General features: G+C 49.0%; 1 protein-coding gene across 14 annotated transcripts; it reads right to left on the bottom strand.

Moving 5' to 3' along the window:
- Positions 1 to 1,582: 1,582 nt before the first annotated feature.
- Positions 1,583 to 18,551, bottom strand: FAM156B (family with sequence similarity 156 member B). 14 transcript variants are annotated; one of them, NM_001321181.2, is made up of 4 exons: positions 18,413 to 18,551; positions 10,602 to 11,084; positions 9,483 to 9,575; positions 1,583 to 3,034 (listed from the first exon to the last, which is right to left on the bottom strand). In NM_001321181.2, the coding sequence occupies exon 4, from the start codon at positions 2,915 to 2,917 to the stop codon at positions 2,276 to 2,278; it is 642 nt and encodes a 213-aa protein (NP_001308110.1). In that variant the 5' UTR covers positions 2,918 to 3,034; positions 9,483 to 9,575; positions 10,602 to 11,084; positions 18,413 to 18,551; the 3' UTR covers positions 1,583 to 2,275. The 14 variants fall into 14 exon arrangements, with proteins under 14 accessions (NP_001308110.1, NP_001308115.1, NP_001308112.1 ...); NM_001321186.2 differs by having other exon boundaries at positions 10,602 to 10,675; NM_001321183.1 differs by lacking the exon at positions 18,413 to 18,551 and adding an exon at positions 12,953 to 13,202 and having other exon boundaries at positions 10,602 to 10,675.
- Between the last annotated feature and the right edge of the window lie 2,173 nt (positions 18,552 to 20,724).

Below are 20,724 nucleotides of genomic sequence, written 5' to 3'. Positions count from 1 at the left end.
GGGATAAACACACCATATCCAGTCCAGAGCACCCAACCTGTTGTATTTCATGATATAGTGGAAGGACACAGACTAAGATGGGGTCGGATCTCTCTCCCTGATGAATCGCTCAATCCCCCGGAGCGGGGCTACCTCTGCAACTCCTCCTCACCTCCCCACCACGACAGTCGACGTAGCCCAGAAGGGAGACAGGCAAGGTGAGAAAATGGAAACCCTGATGATTGCTGAAATGATGACTGTCACTGGCAGCATGGACCTGGTGTGCTTGCTGCGCTGACTGAGAAGGTCCGCAGAGAGCATCTGAGTGGTTGGGGAGTGAGACAAAGGCATGCATCTCTGGCCACCACTTTAGGACCTGCACAAACTCTCCACAAGGTGGGGATGGTTGTACCTGGCCCACGGCACTGTGTGGAGGATTCAGCAATGGATCTCACCAAGACTTGGTGCTACCAGCTATGAAATGAGCACCAAAGCCCGGCTCTAGGCACTTCACCCACAGCCTTCACAGAGGTGAACTGCTGAAGGGGGGCCAGCTCCGATCCCAGCCTACCTAGGTTCGGGTGCTAGTTCTACCTCTTACTGCCTGTGCCACCGTGGGCTAGTTCCCTAACTTCTCTGGTGTTCTGCTTTCGAAATTCATAAAGCGGAACTGAAAATGTTGCTAGAGGATGGGTGTGTGGGAGTGGAGGAAGGCAGCTGACATATGGAAATGGGGAAAATACCATCAGAACCCTAGGAAACATCAGCCAAAGGGCAACGCCTCGAACCCCTTTGAAACCCTCCCGGATTCACTGGTCTCCATTTAGGCCTTTGTGTTTCAAGAAGGAATAGCCCTGCTTTTTTTTCCCTTCTCCCCTGGAGCTAGGTCAGTTCAACTGTCGACTCTCTCATGAGATCTCAGCATCAGAATCCAAGACACTTACCTGTTTTCAAGCCACTTCTGTCGGCAGGAGATGTGTAGACTTTTGCAGCAAGACAGCTCTGGGGACTACCTAAAACAGACTGACACAAAGCAGAATTTGTTTTCAGTTCAGAGGAGTCACATGGGTACTGGCTGGGTTCACATCTCAGGATTCTGCAGAGGTTAAAAAAAAAGGTAGATTTAGTCATTTGTGCCTCCTGAAATTAAAAGACACACATGTCTAAATCCCAATAAGATGTTGGAAGAACCCAAGGATGCTCTGGTTCTCACAAAGCAGGTGCAAACTGCTGCTCAGTTTCACCCACCCGGGCCCACCACACAACAAGCAATGGCGCCGCAGCCCCTAAGCCAGGGCACCAGCACCAACACGCAGGGCTCTCACCGTGGGCGGCGGACTCTGCTTCCACGTCTCCTGTGCACAGGAAGCCTCTCTTCAAAGCCATGGCCCTGCCTCGCTGGTCTCGATGCTGGTCCCGCTGCAGGGCTCAAACAGTGACTGGGCTGTGTTCTCTGGTGCCCTCCCTCCCCCGTTCCCAGTCTCCACAGCACAGAGCTTCCCTCAATAAACCCGGATCCCCTGCTGGGAGATTTCAAGGTAACCAGCTCAGATCTAATGAGAAACAAACCAATACTGAGGAACAAACCTGAATTCTACACCCATTTTCCATTCCTACATATATTTATTTGGTATTGATGATGAGGAACCCCGTCAAAAATTCCTGTAAGGGAGACTACTACTCGACTGTTAGGGGTATTGCAACATTTACATACATGTAGCTTATCACATACGTAAACATTTACACAAATAGTACAGCGGTGAACCACCAAGTTCTCATTCCACATTCCTTTCCCACACTGCGTTTACCTGCCCATTCTTGAAACTGGATCTCAGGGCAGCACATTGCATTTCAACAGGCCTAGTGCTGCTTCTCAGAGGCAGTCAACTCAATGGTGCAAAAGCACAGGACAGCGACAAGGCATTCACACTACACAGACATGTGATCTCTTACTGACAGCAGGAAGGGAAGAGAGATGGAGATCCCGGGTGGGAAAGCGACAACATGCATCACAGGAGCCATGTGAGATGCGGTGAGGACCGCTGGTACGCAGCGTCCCTTGCCAAGGAATGCCTCACAGCCATCCGAGAATGACAGGCACGAAACATGAGGACCTTCCTCGGGTCAGTCAAGCATCATGCTGGGAGGACTCCCACGTGTCCCGGTACACAGGTCCTGGCACTCATCCGACCACAGCTTGCTGTTTGGTCCCCAAAATGGGCCCACACCCAGGCGCTGCCAACACGGCGGCTCCGTCTGAGTCCCTTCGGGTCTCCATCCCATGGGGGTGCACGTCTCAGTTTTCCTCTAACCACTGCTTGAGCAGCCTCTGAAACATTATTTTGCTCTCCTGCTGCCTCTCTCGCTGGCGCTTCTCCTCTGTCTCCTGTGGCTGGAGTGCCGCTTCAGGCAGAGGCCCGGGCTGGTTGGTGCCTAGGCTGAGAGTCAAGCCACTGAGGCCCTGCACCAGCGTCTCCCAGGAGGAGGGATGTGGGGCCCTGTTACTCTCCCCAGGGATCCCAGAAAGATTCGGCCTGTGGCTCTGGCAGTATCGACATTCACATCGGAATCGATTCTGACTTCTGTCACCTAATGGGGAGATTCTGGCTTCCCTCCCAACAGCATAGGGGGCCATGTGATCGCGGTGTCTCCTCCTCACATGCCGCAGGAATGCTTTCTTCCTCTGAAGGAACTCCAGCCTCTCCCACCGCCGCTCTTCCAGGGTCTTCTCCTCTCTGTACCGCTGGCGGAGCAGCCCCTCTGGGAGAGGCACGGCCTGGCTGGGGCCAGGACCGGGGCTCAGGTTACTGAGGCCCATCATCGGCTGTTCTGAGTACGAAGGCTGAGAGGGCGCTGGACCTTCCTGGGAAGTCTCTGCAGCTGTCATCGGGGAAGATTTGGAAGGCGATGCTGGATTCCGTTTCTGGAGTGGATCCATGGAGGTCTGGTCCCAGCTGGAAGCTCCGCCAGGCCCTCGGGTCCAGAAAAGGAGGTGAAGCTGGAGGTTCTCAGACACCAAGAAGGTGGCGAGGAATGTGTGCGGGCAGAACCCAGACTGCAACGCAAGGTGATAAGACAAGAAAACACAGAATTATTCATCTTACTCAACCTCTCTGTCCCTCCACTTCCTGTGTGTAGAATGGGGATTATAGAGAGACCCTGTCCTAGGCTTCTTCTGAGGATGACGTGAGATCATACATCTCACCAGCTTAGAATATTAATGCCATCTAATAAAGGATTTACAAATGATACCAATTAATGCATCCACGTGACACGGGGTGCAAAAGGATGCAATGCAGTTCGACGATGTCAATTCCCTGCTGACATTTTCCAACCCCTTCCCAAGCATCATTTGTAGAATAATCAATGTGTGACTCACAGGTGCTCTGCCCATGAGCGTTCATTTTCATCCACTCACAAGGGAGACTTTTACTCAACTGTAAGCGTTTGCACCATGGGGACACACCCTTTTGTATGTTCGCCTTCCTGACCACTGGGTTTGCATCTAGTCGAAAAGGCTGCTCATGCCTATGGAAATCGTTTCCAAATTCCTAGTGTGGATAAGAATTTATTTTGCTAAACAACAGAAGCATAAACCCCCAGGAGACTTCAAACAGAAAAACACATAGATGAATTCAATTAATCCAGGAAAAAAAAAAAAAAAAAAGCTGGTTCTTTGAAGTGATCAATGAAATTGATACACCCGTGGCAGGACTGGCTGGGAAAAAAGAGGGCAAAGAAACAAGTTACCAATATCAGGAATGCAAGAAGAGATTTCACTCCAGACCCAGAAAACATAAAAGGGTCAATATGGTAAGAATACACGCAACTCTACAGATTCACATTCCACAGGTCAGAGGAAATGTAGCACATACTTGAAAACCACAAGCTACGGAAACTCACACAGGATGGATTTCAAACACTGAACTGTGTGCACAGTCCTATATGTTTTAAAGAAGTTGAATTCACAGGCAAACACATTTGCAAAAAGATCTCTGGGCCAAGACAGTTTCACTGGCCAAGTCTACCAAACGTTTAATGAAGAAATATCACCAACTTACACAACTTCTTCTAGGAAACAAAGCAGAGGGAATGCGCCCCACTGATTTTATGAGGCCAGCACCACAGGGATACCAAGAAAAGGACAGACCAGTATTCTTTCCTAGTACAGGCACCAAAGTATTCAACAAAACCTTGCAGTTTGAATTGAGCAATATGTGAGAAGAATAATAAGCCACGATCAAGTGGGTTTTATAGCGGGAATGCAAGGGTTGTTCTTCCCACACCTGAAAATCAATCAATGTAACCCACAGATTGAGAGATCAGATGAAGAACAAAAATGACAGGATCACATCAAGCTATGCAGAAAAACCCTTTGATAAGATTCAAAGTCCACTGGTGATATAAAAGCTCTAGCACACTAGGAACACAAGACAACTTCCTCAACCTGAAAAAGGGCGTGTACAGTCAAACCTACAACTAACAAGCCACTTAATGGTCAACGACTGGATGCTTTCTGCCTAAGGATGCGAACCAGGCAAGGACGTCCACTCTCACCACAGCTATTCAACGTCACGCTGAGGCCCAGTCAGTGCTATAATGCCAGAAGAATCACGGCACACACCGGAGAAAGCAAGAAACCAAAGTACTCCTTTTCATGGGTCCTGTGATCGTCTACATGAAACAACCAGTGTATCTCCCCCAGACTCTCAGAGCTAATAAGAGCTTAGTGCTCATTAATGAGAGCTTAGCAGCAATACAGGAGAGAAACTCAACACACGGAAAACAATCCTATGCGTAACTGGAAACCTAAATTTAAGAAATAATACTGTTTTACAAAAGCTACAAACACAATGCAATGGTTATGTATAAAGCTAAAATACGTGGACGGGGTCTGTATGCCCAAAACTATTAAACGGTAATGAAAAAATCAAAGAAGATTTAGTTAAATGGAGAGAAACAATGTGTTCCCATATTTAAAGACCCAAAAAAGTTAACAGTCCATTGTCCCCAACTTGATCTGTAGAATGAATGCAGTGCCTGCCAATCAGAATCCTTGAGGGACATTTGCATGCATAAACAAGCAGATTCTACAATTCACGTGGAATATCTGATGTTTCAAAAAGCAGAAGGTATTTTAGAGAGATGATATTATCAGATTTTCAGATTTGCTCTAAAGCTGTAATAATCGAGATTGCTGGCTTACAGGGGTAGACGAGTAGATCCATGGAATAAAATAGAGTCCATGAATCCATCCATAGAAATGTGTCCAGTGAGTTTTGACATGGGTGTGAGAGGGAATCCAATGGAGAAGGGATAAGCTTTTCAATACATGAGGTGGCCTATCCTTACGCAAAAAGATGCACCTCAACCTCAACCTTTACACGCAATTAAGGAAAAAGGGTTCAGAGACCTACACGCCAAAGTTCAATACTATGACTTTTGGTAGAAACCGTAGGAGGACATCTTTGTGAGGGGAGGCTAGGACATGACCTGAGATGCATGATCCATGGAAAGGAAAGATGGATGGATAGGAGTTTGGCAAAATTTAAAACTCTGGCTCTGGCCGGGCGTGGTGGCTCCTGCCTGTAATCCCAACACTTCGGGAGGCCAAGGTGGGCAGATCACTAGAGTTCAGTTGTTCGAGACCAGCCTGGCCAACATGGTGAAACCCTGTCTCTACCAAAAAATACAAAAATTACCTGGCATGGTGGGACATACCTGTAGTCCCCAGCTACTGGGGAGGCTGAGGCAGGAGAATTGCTCGACCCAGGAGGCAGAGGCTGCAGTGAGCCGAGATCGAGCCACTGCCCTCCAGTCTGGGCGACATAGCGAGCCCCTGTCTCTAAATAAATAAATAGAACAGAATAGAACAGAATAGAATAGGATAGATAGAATAGAATAGGATACGATACGATACTATACGATACTATACGATACGATACGATACAATACAATACAATACAACACAATACAACACAATACAATACAACACAACTTTGGCTGTGTAAGAGCCAGTGTGTTCAGAGAATGAAAATCAAAGCTGCACCACTAGGAGGAAATGTTTGAGAATCACCAACCTGACAGATCTTATATCCAAAACACATGGCGCGTTTTCAAAACTCCACAATAAGAAAATCAACACCCCAACTAGAAAATGGGGGAAAGACTTGAATGGGAGCGCAAGAAACCATATTTAACATCATTCAGCATTAGGGGAATGCAAATTAACACCATGGAGACTGGCAAGGCCAAGCGAGAACATGTTGGGTGACTGGAACTCTCACACTTTGCAGCTGGGAGGGCGAAATAGCACAGCAACTTTGAGAAGCAGTTTGGCAGTTTCTTGTAAGTCAAACAGATGTTTACCATAGGACCCAGCCATCCCACTCCTGGGTATCTACCCTAGAGAAATGAAAACTTAGGTTCACAAAAAAGCCCGCACTGAATTGTAAAAGCAGCTCGATGCGAAACTGCCCCACACTGGACAGAGGAAAATGTCATTCAGTAGAAGGATGGCTGAACACCTGTGGTCTTCCACACCGTGAAACTGCCTTCATGAAAAAACAACAGCCTGTGACAGAGGCATCTGACACTCATCCGAGATGTTCATCGGGCCAAAAGAAGGAAGCCCGCCTCACAAGGCCACAAACTGTATGGTGTCATTGACATAACACTCTCCCCAAGACAAAACTAGAGGGAAGGAAACAGATCACTTTACACCAGGGATGATGGATGAAGAAGGGGTAACCGCAATGGGGCAGTTCCAGGGAGTGTCCTGCGGTGATGGGACTGTTCTGGATCCCGACTGTGGTGGTGGTGACAAGAATGTATGCCCGTGTCAAAGCTCACAGAACTGTACTCCTGAGGGAAAAAAGTCAATCTTGCTGTAGGTTAAGTGGAAAAACCCAACGGCATATTTTGCGATAAGGGTATCTCTCTGTACTGTTTTGATAAATACATCTTGGATGAGTGCAACCAAAAATTGACATTAAATGCTAAATGGAAACTTTAGATCAGCCTCCCAGGCTCTATTCTTTTGACAAACGTGGAAACCAAGAATTCACTAGTTTTCTTCAGAGGATACTGGTCCTCTGAATGTTTATTCACCAAATCGTGGCTATCAGCCCACACTGGGGCAAGAAAGACAGAACCGTAACAGGAACAGTTTGAATATGTACTGAACACAAACATATATAAACACACACACACACACATCCCAGAAAGAGTTCTTAACTTTTCAGAAATTGCAATCTATCTTTCCTACGAGTTAGTTCCCTGACATCCTTTGGGCCACCACTATCTGACACAAACAGTTAATGTGTGAAACGTTTGGAAAATGATCTTAACCCAATTATCTCCCAGCCAATTCTCATGTGTCACAAGGACTCTCTCAGGATCTATTTCTACATGTAGAAAGCCAATTCTCAGAGAGAGAAAAGACCTTACGACCCCCACCCCCCACGTTTCTTTTGCTGTTTTGTTTGTTTGTTTGAGGCAGGGACTCGCTCTGTTACCTAGTCTGGTGTGCAGTGGCAAAACCTCGGCTCATTGAAACCTCTGCTTCCTGGGCTCAAGGGATCCTCCAGTCTCAGACGCCTGAGCAGCTTGCACTACAGGCGTGAGCCACCATGCCCGGCTAATTTTTGTATTTTTTGTAGAGACGGGGTTTTGCCATGTTGCCTAGGCTGGTCTGGAACTCCTGAGCTCCACATGATCTGCATGCCTCAGCCTCCCAGAGTGCTGGGATTATAGGCGTGAGCCACTGTTCCCAGCCAGAAACACTTTTATGAGAAGAAATGTGAGCCGGGTGTGGTGGCTCATGCCTGCAATCCCAGCACTTTGGAAGGCCGAGGCAGGCAGATCACCTGAGGTCAGGGGTTTGAGACCAGCCTGGCCAACATGGCGAAACGCCATCTCTACGGAAAATACAAAAAAATTAGCTGGGTGTGGTGGTGGGCACCTGTAATCCCAGGTAATAGAGAGGTTGAGGCAGGAGAATCACTTGAACCCAGGAGGCGGAGGTTGCAGTAAGCCGAGATTGCACCACTGCACTCCAGTCTGGGCAACGGAGCAAGACTCTGTCTCAAAAAAAAAAAAAAAAAAAAAAAAAAAAAGAAAAAGAAAAAAAAGAAATAGGAAGATTCTGGAGACATCAACTGACAACCGGCCTGCATAGTCATCGCTCTCTTTTCTCTCTTTCTCCCTCCAGCAATTTTGTGAAATGAAACATTTTACCGTCCTATGTGTAGGTTCATCCAGAGATTCTCAAACCACACCCATGGAGTTGCTCATGATCCCTGACAGAGGCATTAAGGACAGTGAGGCCTAGAGAAGTCCGTTGTGTGTGCGGAGGGGAGCAGCTGCAGCAATACATGTGACTTCCCTTCCTTCATCATCTCACCAATGTCATTTCTTCAACAGGCACTTGCCCCCAGGTAAAAGACCTTGTATCAAAAATCTCTGCATGAAACACCACAGCCTCAAGTTTCCTGCATCATGTCATGCAGCTACCGAAGAGAGAGAAGGACTACTGGAGACAGGGAACCCAGACAGTTTACCGGTCAGACCTTCAGCATGAGAGGTGATGTCTCTGGGTACCAATCCCTCACTGTGATGGTTTTATCGGTCAACTCGGCCAGGCTTGGTGCCTGGTCCCTTTTGGTCAAATGCTACTCTAGTTGTTGCTGGGAAGGTATTTGTGGACATGATTAACATTTACAATCACGCTGGGCACAGTGGCTCACGCCTGTAATCCCTGCTTCGGGAGGCTGAGGCGGGTGGATCACTTGAGGTCAGCAGTTCGAGAGCAGCCTGGCCACCGGGGTGAAACCCCATCTCTACTAAAAATAAAAATTAGCCGGGTATAGTGATGGGTGCCTGTAGTTTGGGACTGCCATGGCCCTTGGCAAGACTTTCACCTCTCATTCACCCTGCATGACTCAGCTGAGATAGCACTTCTCCCAGGAAGCCTTCTCCAAGCTCCTAAAACGCCCTGTATTTCCCCTGTCCCAGCCCCAATCCCACTCAGCTGTCAACAGATGGTTATTTCTCTGTCAACCCACTAGCCCAGGAGCTGACAGAGGCCAGGGACTTTGTCTTGTTCACCCATCACAGAGCCTTGAGCCCAGTGGACATTCACAAATATCTATCAAATGAAACAAGAAGGATGTGGGGCCCGTGATAAACATCTCACTGAGAATGTCAAGTCAACCCTGCAGAATCCATATTTTCCCACGTTGCAAAGGCAGAAATTCCTGCATGGAGAGGTCAAGTAACTTCCCTCAGATCACACAACCACTCAGGGACAGAATTCCCTCCCAGGTCTCCCTGACTGCAGATGAACACACCCCTGGTGGCATTGCCTCTCTGGGTGTTCAGCCTCCCCTGATACCTAAGCGAGAAAGTAATCCTGAGGGAAGAGTTCAGACAGCAGAGTCCTAGGGGCTGACCCGCATGTCCACAGCTGCCCGGGGATCGGGTGCAATGCTGCGAATCCTTACCGTCACTTCCTCCTGGCCAGTTCTGTTCCCATGCCAGAAATGCTGCACCAAACGCACCTCTCACACTCCCCACTCTCATTCGCTTCAATTCTCCTGTGCGGAAGGAGAAAGAGAACAGCTAAGCAAGTGAATCCAGACGACACCCTGCAGATGAGCGCCAGGAAGAGCTTTGTGTTTCTTTTCAAAATTAAGCCAGTCCCATGTGATGCTTTTTTCAATCTTCCACAATAATATGAGATAATAAAATGCATTTATTTCAGTTTAAAGATACAGATTTCATTTAATAATCCCAATTAAATATGGACTTTTTTTTTTTTTTTTGAGACAGTCTCACTGTGTCGCCCAGGCTGGAGTGCAGTGGCATGATCTCAGCTCACTGCAACCTCCGTCTCCTGGTTTAAAGCAATTCTCCTGCCTCAGCCTCCGGAGTAGCTGGGATTACAAGCACCCGCCACCACACCCGGCTCACATTTGTATTTTTAGTAGAGACAGGGTTTCACCACGGTGGCCAGGCTGGCCGCGAACTCCTGACCTTGTGATCTGCCCACGTCGGCTTCCCAAAGTGCTGAGATTACAGGCGTGAGCCACCACGCCCGGCCACATGGACTTTTTTCTAGAAGTGGCAAAATCCTACAGCAAAATGTCTAAGGTCTGTGCAAGTTCTCTGGGTGCTGAAAACCGTGCTCCTAGTCTTGTGCCATGTCATGGCAAAGGAATCTAACTCCTAGCCACGCAACGCCACACAGATTGAGGAAAGAGTCTGTCCTACACATGACTTGCAGATGTTCTACATTTTTGATGCCTACACAGATCATCTCTATCCTACTGGGTCTGGAGCGGAAGAGATACAATTTTTAGCAGCTTTGTAACAAAAGAACAGGTAGTCAGTAAAGCCAGCAATGCCCACTTTCAAGAAAGAAAGAAGAAAATGAAGACAGCAGTGAAGCGTGGTGCTGGCATCAGGGGTCTCCCAGCAGGTGAGTACACAGAAAAGCAGCGGGAGTACAACCGGGAGTCCGGGGAGGGAACAGGGGAGGGACCAAGAAGAGTGGCCAGAGCAGCAAGAGGAAGACAAGGAGCAAGTCCGCTCTGGCGAGAATGGAGCTTGCCTAGACTCACCCAAGGCAGTCAGGTCGCTGGGTTCACAAGGTCGATGCTGTGGGTGTAGGCCGAGTGACTGCTACACCTTTCACCTACAAAAGAAAATAACCTCACTGGCCAGGTCACATTCCTCCAGGTATTTACTGAGGGCCCACTCCATTCAGCGGTGCCTTCGGTGAATTATCCAATGCAGCCCCATCCCAAGGACGTGTCTTAATCTGAGGAATAAAATATTGTCCAAGGAGCCAGGAATGGTGGCTCACGCCTCTAATCCAAGCACTTTGGGAGGCTGAGGTGGGAGGACTGCTTCAGCCCAGGAGTTTGAGGCCAGCCTGAGCAACAGGGCGAGACCACCATCTCAACAAAAAACTTAAAAAATTAGCCAGGCATGATGCTGCACAGCTATGGTCCCAGCTACTGGGGAGGCTGAGGTGGGACGATCACTTGAACTCAGGAGGTTGAGGCCAGTGCAGTCCAACCTGGGTGACAGGGTGAGTCCATCTGAAATCACAAAACAAAACAAAAAGACAACTATGGCAGGCATGAGACGGGGGTACTTCTGACACAGAGGAAGTCAAAATCACCATAGCCCAGGTGGTCAGGAACAGCTTCTCCCAGGGCATGCTATGATATATATTCTCATCCCCAGTTGCAGATGAGGTAACAGGATCAGAGAGGTTAAGCAACTCACTCAAGGTCACACATCTAGGGAGTGGTGGTGACCATTTCTCACTGAGGTCTGCTGAAATACAAAAGTCACTCCACCATTTGTGACACCAATCTCTCTTTATATTGTCACCCGTTTTAATTCGCATTCATAGACGTATACTTACCTGTGGCTCTCCTTAGTTTCATATTCTCATAAGCGGCTACACACGGTATAGATTTCGTCTTAGCACATCAGGCCTTTCCCTTAAAGAACCTGAATTTCCCGTGCCCGGCACGACTGCCCAGCCCAGAACTGAACACTTATCTCAAATTAATCTTCCAACCACACACCAAGGAAAGAAAATGGATTACTGCCACGTAGAGATTTAATTTGGGTATTTCACGAATTCTGAACTACGATTTGAAATGTAACCACTGTCCAACCAGAAACAGTAAAAACAAAGTGCTTCCCTATGAAAAGTATTCACAGGACATTTTATTAAATGCCAAAGCATTCCAGGTAAGACACACTGCCCGTTTTATAGGAAGTTGTTGAGATTCTGCTCCTAAGAATACAGTAGTCCTTTCTCTCTCCACTGCTAGTGCCCTGATAAGCTCAGCCAACCAAGGCCATTCGCTTTTCCATTTGCAAGCAAACACACCAAACTACCCTCACACCCACGCACAAATCCAACGCACCCAACGGGTCAGTGAGTAGAGGGAAATGGTATTGGAGATGCAGATGGGAATCTGTGGCTACTCAGAGCACCACATTTCTGATGGCGGAGAGGGCTACCGCCCAGGGTCGCCTGTACTCCAGCAAGGTGGACGGCGGAGAGGCCCTCCCTCTCTAAACATGAGACCCTGCAGCTTGTGCGGCTACTGGACACAAATGGCCTGGACCATTCATTGCGCACGAATGCAGCAATCACACCGCCCATTAAACGCATGTCTAGTCGTATTTCACATTACGACCGTCCCTCTGTCACACGTCGGAGAAAGGGTTTGTCGGACGGTTTGTTTCAATAGGGGCAATGCAGTCCTCCTTGAAAACCCTCCAGTCACTGTCTCCTGCTGTGCGATGGGAGAGGAGGTGGGGAGGGAGGTGATGCCAAGGACACGGTGATTTCTGAACCCGCTGAACACTGATCCTAGCCCAAGTGTAGTCCCGCCGGCTACCAATGCCCGCGGCATCCTCTTTCTCCGCTGAAAAAGGCCACCCCCAAGTAGGGAACGAGAACAACGCCACCCCCAGAGTGCACGACCGCCATTCCCACACCGGGGAGATATGGACGACGTGGAAAATCACCCGCTTCCTTCGAAAGCCCCACTCCCGGCCAGCCCAACCCAGGGATTCGAGTCCCAAGACACCCTGGCCTGTGCTAGGGACAGCCTCCGTCTCGGCCTCTCGCTCTGTCTCTCTGGAAGTCTCTCTCCCACCCCCCCGCTCTCAGTCTCTCCCGCGCGCTCGCTCGCTCTCCGTCTCTCTCGGGCTCTCTCACGCGCGTTCTCGCTCCGGAGCCGGTTCCCGCCGTCCAAGCGCCAACGCGGCGCCTCGTTTCCTCTGCCCTGGAAACGCAGCGCCGCCCGCTCGTAATTGAAGGGTTAAGACCATCGAGAGGAGCCGCCCTCCGGCGGGCTAGAGGCGCCGCAGCGCGGAAGGGGGCGCCGGCGAGGATGTGCTCACGTCACAGGGATGCGACGCCGCTGAGAAACTGAACCTTTGATTGGCTGCCGCGGACCGCCGGAGCCGGAAGACGGAGCGGTTGGGTGGCTTCTCGCGACCCACGCCGCTCGGGTGGACTGCGAGGGGAGAAGGCGTGGAGGTCATCCCTTCCGGAGGTGCGCCGCGGCGTTCCCGGAGCGGCTTCTCTGAAGCGTGGCTTGTGGACTGCCGAATGCTTCCGGAGGCCATGGGAAGACACTCCCTGTAGCGGACGTGACTTCCCGGGCGAGGGACGTGGGAACTGGGCTGGAGGGTTGGGAGGCGGCCGACTTCTCCTGTGATTGGCTGGAGTTTTGAGCTAGGGCGCGCCGCTGAGAACCGACACGTGCTGTTTCATTTTTTTTTTTTTTTTTTTTTTTTTTTTTACTGTTTTTGCATGAATGATAAATGCACCTTGGTAAAGACAGAAACCAAACAATCCAATACATTGAAATTATTCAGGCTACTGCCTTAGGGAGAGCGCCCCAGAAGTGGAAATCACACTGTTGGGGTAACCGGGGCGGGGCGGGGGTGTCTTTTACTTTCATAGGAAGGAGTACACCGGTTTCAGTGGGGAGATTTATGGGGCAGGGTTTTTTGTTTTTTTTTTAATCAGCGGAAGTCTCAGCCAGCTGAACAGGGAATGTTTCTCTCTGTGCCTAGCTACTTTTAGGAGGACAGACTTCCCGTCTAAGTGAATCATTTGTGATACCCTACCTTGTTTTAACCTGAGTGACTCTTTCCTAGCAGAGAGAGCCGGACAGACTCCATTTTAGTTTCTTCACTTGCAGCCCCCTTTATCCCCCTTAAGGGAATAACTAGTGCAAGCTGAGTCCAAGCACATCCAAGAATACACCTGCTGGTAAGATATTGAGGCAGGCTGTACCAACAGCTCGGGAATGTGCTCGGTGGAAGGTACCTAAAAGCCCCTGCATTTATCTCTTAATCATAGTTTAAGCCCCTGCACCTGGAACTGTTTATTTTTTGTAACTGCTTCTATAACCAATTAATTTTTTTTAACTTTTTGCCTATTCTGCTTCTGTAAAATTGCTTCAGCTAAACTCCCCCCTCCCCTGTTTAGACCACGGTATAAAAACAAAACTAGCCCCTTCCTTGGGGCCGAGAGAATTTTGAGCGTTAGCTGCCTGTAGGTCGCCAGCTAATAAAGGTCCCCTTAATTTGTCTCAAAAGTGTGGCGTTTCTCTATAACTCGCTTGGTTACAACACATTCATGAGACAAAAGAACAAGGACTGGTGGTGTCTGCCATCTGGGAGTCACGGCACAGAGTGGGAAGACAGCATCCCTTATCTAAGTCTCATGGAGAATAATTGGTCCTGTGTGGTCAGTGACTTCCCAGAACACGAAAGTGTACAGAGATTTCTTTACCGTGGCGTATTTCAGGAGTCAAGTGACACGCAACAATGTCTGTCCTAGCAGATACATGGATAGTAGATTCCTTTTTAACCCTGGAAGAAGCCGCCTCGTGAACAGCAGTTTATGAAGGAAGGAAACATGAACCATTCTCCCAGAATATTATCATTTCATTTTACAAATGAAGTAACTGAGCCACAAAGAGATTAAGTAACCTCCCCAAAGTCGTACAAGAAATAAATGGTGGAGTCTCGATTTAAATCCAGGTGTCTGTGACTTCATCCCCTTCGTGCTGTGCAGCCATACACTGTCATTTCCAAATCCACACATGTGGCTCGATTCTCTCCCTGGATCTACAGATTTCTTCCGCCAACTGACAACCCCACAGGCCCGTTGCACTCACCTCCCATCCAGCATCCTGGGCAGTGGGAGATGGCTTCCCAGAGAAGAGAGTGTTAGAGATCCTGGGTCCCAAATGCCCTGTCCAGCCCCTGGAGGGAGAGGTGGGCTTCAAGAGGAAGTTTAGAAGATTTAAAGAGAGTTTATTTGTCTGAGGGACAGGCTGATGGGCTATTACAGCACACACGTGATAATAAACACCTGTTACTTTGAATTTATGTATTTACTTATTTGTTTAGTATTGGCAATACATGCCGAATGGTGGTGATACCCAAAGCAGACAGGTAAAATCAAGCCACTGTATGGGCAAGTCGAGACATTCCCATTTTACTTGGGAAGACCTGACAAGAAAATACCACTCTGCAGTATAAAAGGAGAACATTCTCCTAGACTCAACAAATGAAACTAATTAGTTATTTTTTCTAATTATTCTTATTCTCCTATTACAGATGAGGCACGGTAAGCACAGGGAGGTTAGGTCAGCTCTGCGAAGTCTTCAAGTCATAAGTCGTTGAGTCCCATAGCAAGTACTGCTCAGCATGTCCCAAAGTGAACGCACCCATCCCCACTCAGCACGCCTGCCCCTCCTCCTGTGCTGCCTGACTCAGTGACAGGCACCACCCTCTACCCAGCAGCTTGGGCCAAAGATCTTGAAAGCCATCCTTGATTGCTGCCTCTTACCACCCCCACAGTTGACCGAGCCTGGCCAGTTAGACCTCCCAAGTTTTTCTAAGTGAGACCTTGACACTGACTCCTCTCCATCACCACAGGAAGTTCCCTAGTCCAGTCACCCTCATCTCCCTCCTCGATGACCACCAACAATTCATAGCTCATCTTGCTGCCAGTCTTGACCCCTTCCCACGCATTCTCTGTCCCAGTGAGTGGGGCACCTTTCTTGACTGCTAATCTGGTCATGTCAAACCTTTTCAAATTCTACTAGGGCTGCCTGCTGCCCTTAGGATAAAGTCCAGCCTCCTGGATTAGGGGTATCAGGCCCCAGCTACTACCAGGCCTCTCTCTGTCTAGCGTGCACGCTCGCTCTCTCGCTGTCTCTCTCTCGTGTCTGCCGCCTCACAACCGCCCTTCCCTCTGTCTGGCCTGCACTTGCTCCATCAACCGCTGCCTGATTGCTCCTTACCTTCAGCTCTCAAGTGAAGGAGAGCAAATTATACTTTACCTAGGGAGCAACTGGATGAAAAGGCATGCTTAGTGGGTTTGATATTTTTACTGAATAGCACATGATGGAGATTCATGAAAATTCCCCCAATGGGCCAACCAACTGGAATGTCACGTGAGAGTAGGGTTTTTAGGAAAAGTTTACTTGCAAAAATAGGATGCAGGAAGGTAACTGAGGAAGGTGACAGGTTCATTTGCCTGACTGTAGCAATTATTTCACTGTGTGTGTGTGTGTGTGTGTGTATAACAACATGTTTTATACCTTAAATATATACAATAAAACATAATAATAAAGATACACAACATAGATCTCTCCTTCATTCCTATAGACTCATCATGTGTGAACATGGAGTTTGGAACTGTGGCCCCAGGTTCAGTACCATGAAGTGATGTGGGCTGAGGACCTGCCTCACAGCTGGTTCTTCCTGCCATAGAGTGAACTGTGAGGCTTCGCTTCATTCACTACAGCCTGTTATTTCAGCTCCTAGCATTGCACACCTGAATATGAATGGAAGTGTCTGCTTTGGACATATGGACAATAAAAGAGAAAAGATGGAAATGGCCCTGGTCCTGCCACCATCAGCCCAAGCCCAAACCCTGGCTGGAGGGTAGACTGGACTCCCACTGTCCTGGCACGCTGGCCTGCACACTGATGTGCCTCTAACATGGCACAGTGTGAATGGCTCTCTCTCCCTGGAGCCTGGTTGTTGAGGACCTACTGTGTGCTACTCATGTACAGTGTTGATTTCCCAAAGACCCAGAGAGGTAAGTATCAAACTCCCATCTACAGATAAGGAACCAAGCTGAAAGAGGTCAGGGCACTGAGGCAGAAAAGGCTGGATCTGGGACTCACACGCGGGTTCTGTCAGACTCCAAAGCCAGGCCTCTTTAAACTCACGACAACGTACTTTGCTTATGCTCCCCATGCTGAGCTGCAGATATTATTCTGTGATGGGACAGTCAGCTTGGTCCTAACACGACGTCCCCCTGTGAGATCCAGGCCCCTGGCAGGGCAAAGCCACCCTGAAAAGTTCTAACACAGTCCACAGGAGCTGCCCTGGCGTCCCTTGCCTCACAGCTACCAGTCGAGTTTAGCTTCTGCGCCTCCACCGGGAGGCGCTTTGCCCTATCACAGAGACACTTGCAATCCACCCCCGCCCTAAATTACATCTCCATCAGCCTCACTTTATTTAACAGATAAGAAGAATCTAGAGGCAAACAGAGCAGAGGCAGCGTTAGCGGCTGCAACACAGCTGTGGAGTTGATCAGACTCCAAATGTGGTGTGGAAATCAACAGACTGAGAATGGGAATCTAGTTCCTCTTGTTCTTCGGCTCTCTGGACTGTAAGCTGTGCAGAATCAAAGTGCCTGCCGCACAAACCTCCCCTCTTCTGAAGAGTCTGCCCTGACCCAACCCTTGCACACACACATCCCTCAGGTGAGGGTAGGGTGGTCTCCTGTGTACTCCTAGGGGACCGTGGGTTGAATTCTGCCATGGCTCTCCTTACCCCCCAAGTGTGGGGGTCATCTGCCAGCAAGGATACAGCCGAAACCTCCCCCTGTCCCCAGAGTGTCCGGTCAGCACTTCAGAACAAGTTTATTCAGTTAATAAAGGAATTTCACCCAGAGTACTTGGTCAGTAATGGCTATGATGGTAGCAGCTCTGTGTGCCTTAGAAATGCTCCAGGAGAATCGAGTGAACAGAGGACATCTGTGCAATGAGATTCTCCTCCCCTGGAGTTCGGGAGGAGGGTTGTACCTTTCCTCTCTTCCCTAATTCCAGAACTCCTAGTAAAAGAGGCTACAAAATTATTTGTTTATTTTAGATAGAGACTAGCTCTGTCACCCAGGCTGGAGTGCAGTGGCACAATCTCAGCTCACTGCATCCTCCACCTCCTGGGATCAAGTGATTCTTGTGCCTCAGCCACCCAAGTAGCTGGGATTACAGGTGTGCGTCACTGCACCCGGGATTATTTTTTTTTTTGGATTTTTAGTAGAAATGGGGCTTCACCATATTGGCCAGGCTGTTCTTGAACTCCTGACCTCAAGTGATCTGCCTGCCTTGCCCTCCCCAAGTCCTGGGATTACAGGTGTGAGCCACCGCACCCTGCCAGAATTTTTAAATATGTCTTGGCCAGTATGTTACTCCATGTGGCCTCCCAGTGGGACTGCAGTGCCAAAATGTCAGAGTACCCTAGGGCAAGTGCATGTGGGCCTCCCCCAGGGTCTGTAGGGAAAAACGACTATTGATTGGGTTCAGGCGTCCTAATCGAGTATGTGGTTCTGTGGCTGCAACACAGATGTCCACAGTGACAAGGACATGAACACCTGGATGAACGCGTCTGTCAAGTCTGGGTGGGCTGCATCAGTGCCTTTGCCTGTCCTGTCTCTTGCCTAAGCCCTCCTGGTTCTGACTGCTCCTGCCTGGGTCCCTCCTTCACCTGAACTCTGCAGGCTGCACAGACATGCTTTCTGTATCTGTGGCCCTTCATTGTCCCTTTCCGTGTCACTGGCAGAGCAGAAGCTTACCTGGCCTGACAGGATCCCGTCCTTGTCACCGTGGCACCTCCAGCCTTCTGTTCAGCTTCCTGCTGGTGTGCTAGTGTCCTTGTGGCATCTGCGCCATGTTGGAACGACTCAGCCTCTGACTTTTTTCCAACTGCTCCCTCTGTCTGGAAGGCCTTCACCACAGATATCTGCTTGACTGACTCCTCCCCCTTCACATCTTTGTCAAATTGTCACCTTCTCAACCCAGCCTACCCTAGTCACTCTGTTATAATTTACCTGCAGCTAACCCAGTGCCTCCCCCAATTCCCAATCCCTGTACTGTGATCTGTATATTTTTTCTTTTTAACACAGCCCCCATCATCTTTGTAAACTAAAAATAAAATTCTAAGCCCCACTCCCCAACCATCTGAATGGACCCTTCCTCTCGGCCAAAGCTTTTCCAAAGTTAGCCTGAAAAAGTAGTTCAGGCCATGATGGGAAGGGTGGGTCAGACATGCGTCATTACACCCTTCTCCCTATGGAATTCAGGCACAACTGACCAGCATTTATGTTAAGGGAGAGATCTTAAGACTGTGGCAATAAGACACCAAGTTCCAGCCTGACTAGTATAGCATCACATAACAAATAGGCCCTGAAAGAAGTCAAAGTGTTTCATCCAACAATACATTTCTTTGACACATTTTGAAATAGGCCTACAAAGCCATCTCTTGTGAGGAAGTCTACATTCTGTAGAGAATCCCTTTCCCTTTCCAGGTCTTTTTCCTGGTCTAGGAGAGAATTAGTTCCCAAGAGTCCAGCAACTTTTAAGGTCTGATAAGAAATATTTACAGTCTATTCTCTCTGAAGCCGGCTGCCTCGGGACTTCATTGGCATAATAAGAACCTTGATCTCCACAACCCCTTATCTTAACCCAGACACTCCCTCCTATGGATTGGAGGTCTTTAGATAAACTCAAGCAATTGCCAATCAGAAAATCTTTGAATCCACTTATGACCTGTAAGACCCCACCGCCCCTCCACCGCCCGCCAACTTGTAGTTGTCCCGCCTTTTCAGAAGGAATCAATGTATGTCGTACATGCATTGATTGATGTCTTATGTCTCCCTAAAGTGTATAAAGCGAAGCTGTACCCTGACGACCTTGGGGATGTTTCGTCAGGACCTCCTGAGGTTGTGTCAGGGGCACGTCCTTAACCTTGGCAAAATAAACTTCTAAATTGATTGAGACCTGTCTCGGGTACGTTTTGGTTCATAACTTCTAACGTTTCCTAGATTCCCTTGTGGAGGGTTTGCTGTCTGCCACCTACCACGTCCTCTTCGGGGAATGTCAGATCCAGGGCAGGGATTTCTGTTGATTTGCTTCCCTGAGGTATCCCTACACCTCAAGCAGTGCCTGGCACGTAGAAGACTTTCATACATATTTGTTGCCTGAAGGAACACATATGCCTCCCCCACTAGACTGTGAGACCATTCAGGGTCTCGTTCTCCCCTGTATGATGGAGCCCTCTATGCATGCTTGTGTCATGGTGCAAAGAGCCTCACAAAATAACAGAATTAAACCGTGCATGTCTTAGAGATGGAGGAGATACTCTGGAGGTAGTTTCTACTTTCTTCAGCCCAACACACATTTCTCTTGAATGGTCTGTGCCCATTACTCCTACATTTCAGCTGAGACGGTCTCGGGCCCACACCTCCCCCTGACCACAGATGGCATCTACCTGTGTCCCCTCCCTTCCCTAGCCCCGAATTCTGCATTCAGAAGCACCGTGCGTTTGCAGGAAAGGGCTGAGATGCCGCTCTGTAGATCCTCATCATGTAAAGGTGAAGTTAAGGTTTGGGAAGATGATCCAAACAGCTAGAGACTCCTGCCATCCCACCAGGGCACAGGGGATCCCGGGTTTGATGCATGTGTTCTGGGAGAGCTGCAAGAGGGATGTTGTGTCCAGGTTATTTTCTGGGTGTCAGTGACATCTTGCAGGAGACAGACCACACGACCCAGGAACACATGGGCAGGTCCTGTTCATCGCTGAGAGAGAGGGTCCCTGCTCTGTGTCTTTTATCAGAGACACAGAAGAAACTCCTCCGCACAGTGAGATCTCCACAAGTGGTGCTGAGGGGGACCTGTGACTCTCAAAGCAGTCGCATGACTCCAACCCCAGGGGCAGCTGTGAAGGAAGCTGGCCGTGTAAACTCAGGGGTCTAGATAAGTAAGCGTGGCTGTGGCAGGCTGGAGTGGACGAGTCTGGGAAAGTCAACTCAAGACAACCTCTCACTGACTGTACAGGGTGAGACCCAAATATCAGGAGAAGGTCACAAACAACTCATGTCTGAACTTT

Source organism: Homo sapiens, chromosome X (assembly GCF_000001405.40).
Source record: "Homo sapiens chromosome X, GRCh38.p14 Primary Assembly".
Classification (NCBI taxonomy): Eukaryota; Metazoa; Chordata; class Mammalia; order Primates; family Hominidae; genus Homo; species Homo sapiens.
The sequence above is the reverse complement of the archived record's forward strand: the minus strand, read 5'-3'. Positions and strand labels throughout refer to the sequence as shown.

What these genes read in the sequence shown, in the direction of transcription:
- FAM156B (NM_001321181.2), bottom strand. Translation starts at nt 2,917, where the DNA reads ATGGATCCACTCCAGAAACGGAATCCAGCATCGCCTTCCAAATCTTCC.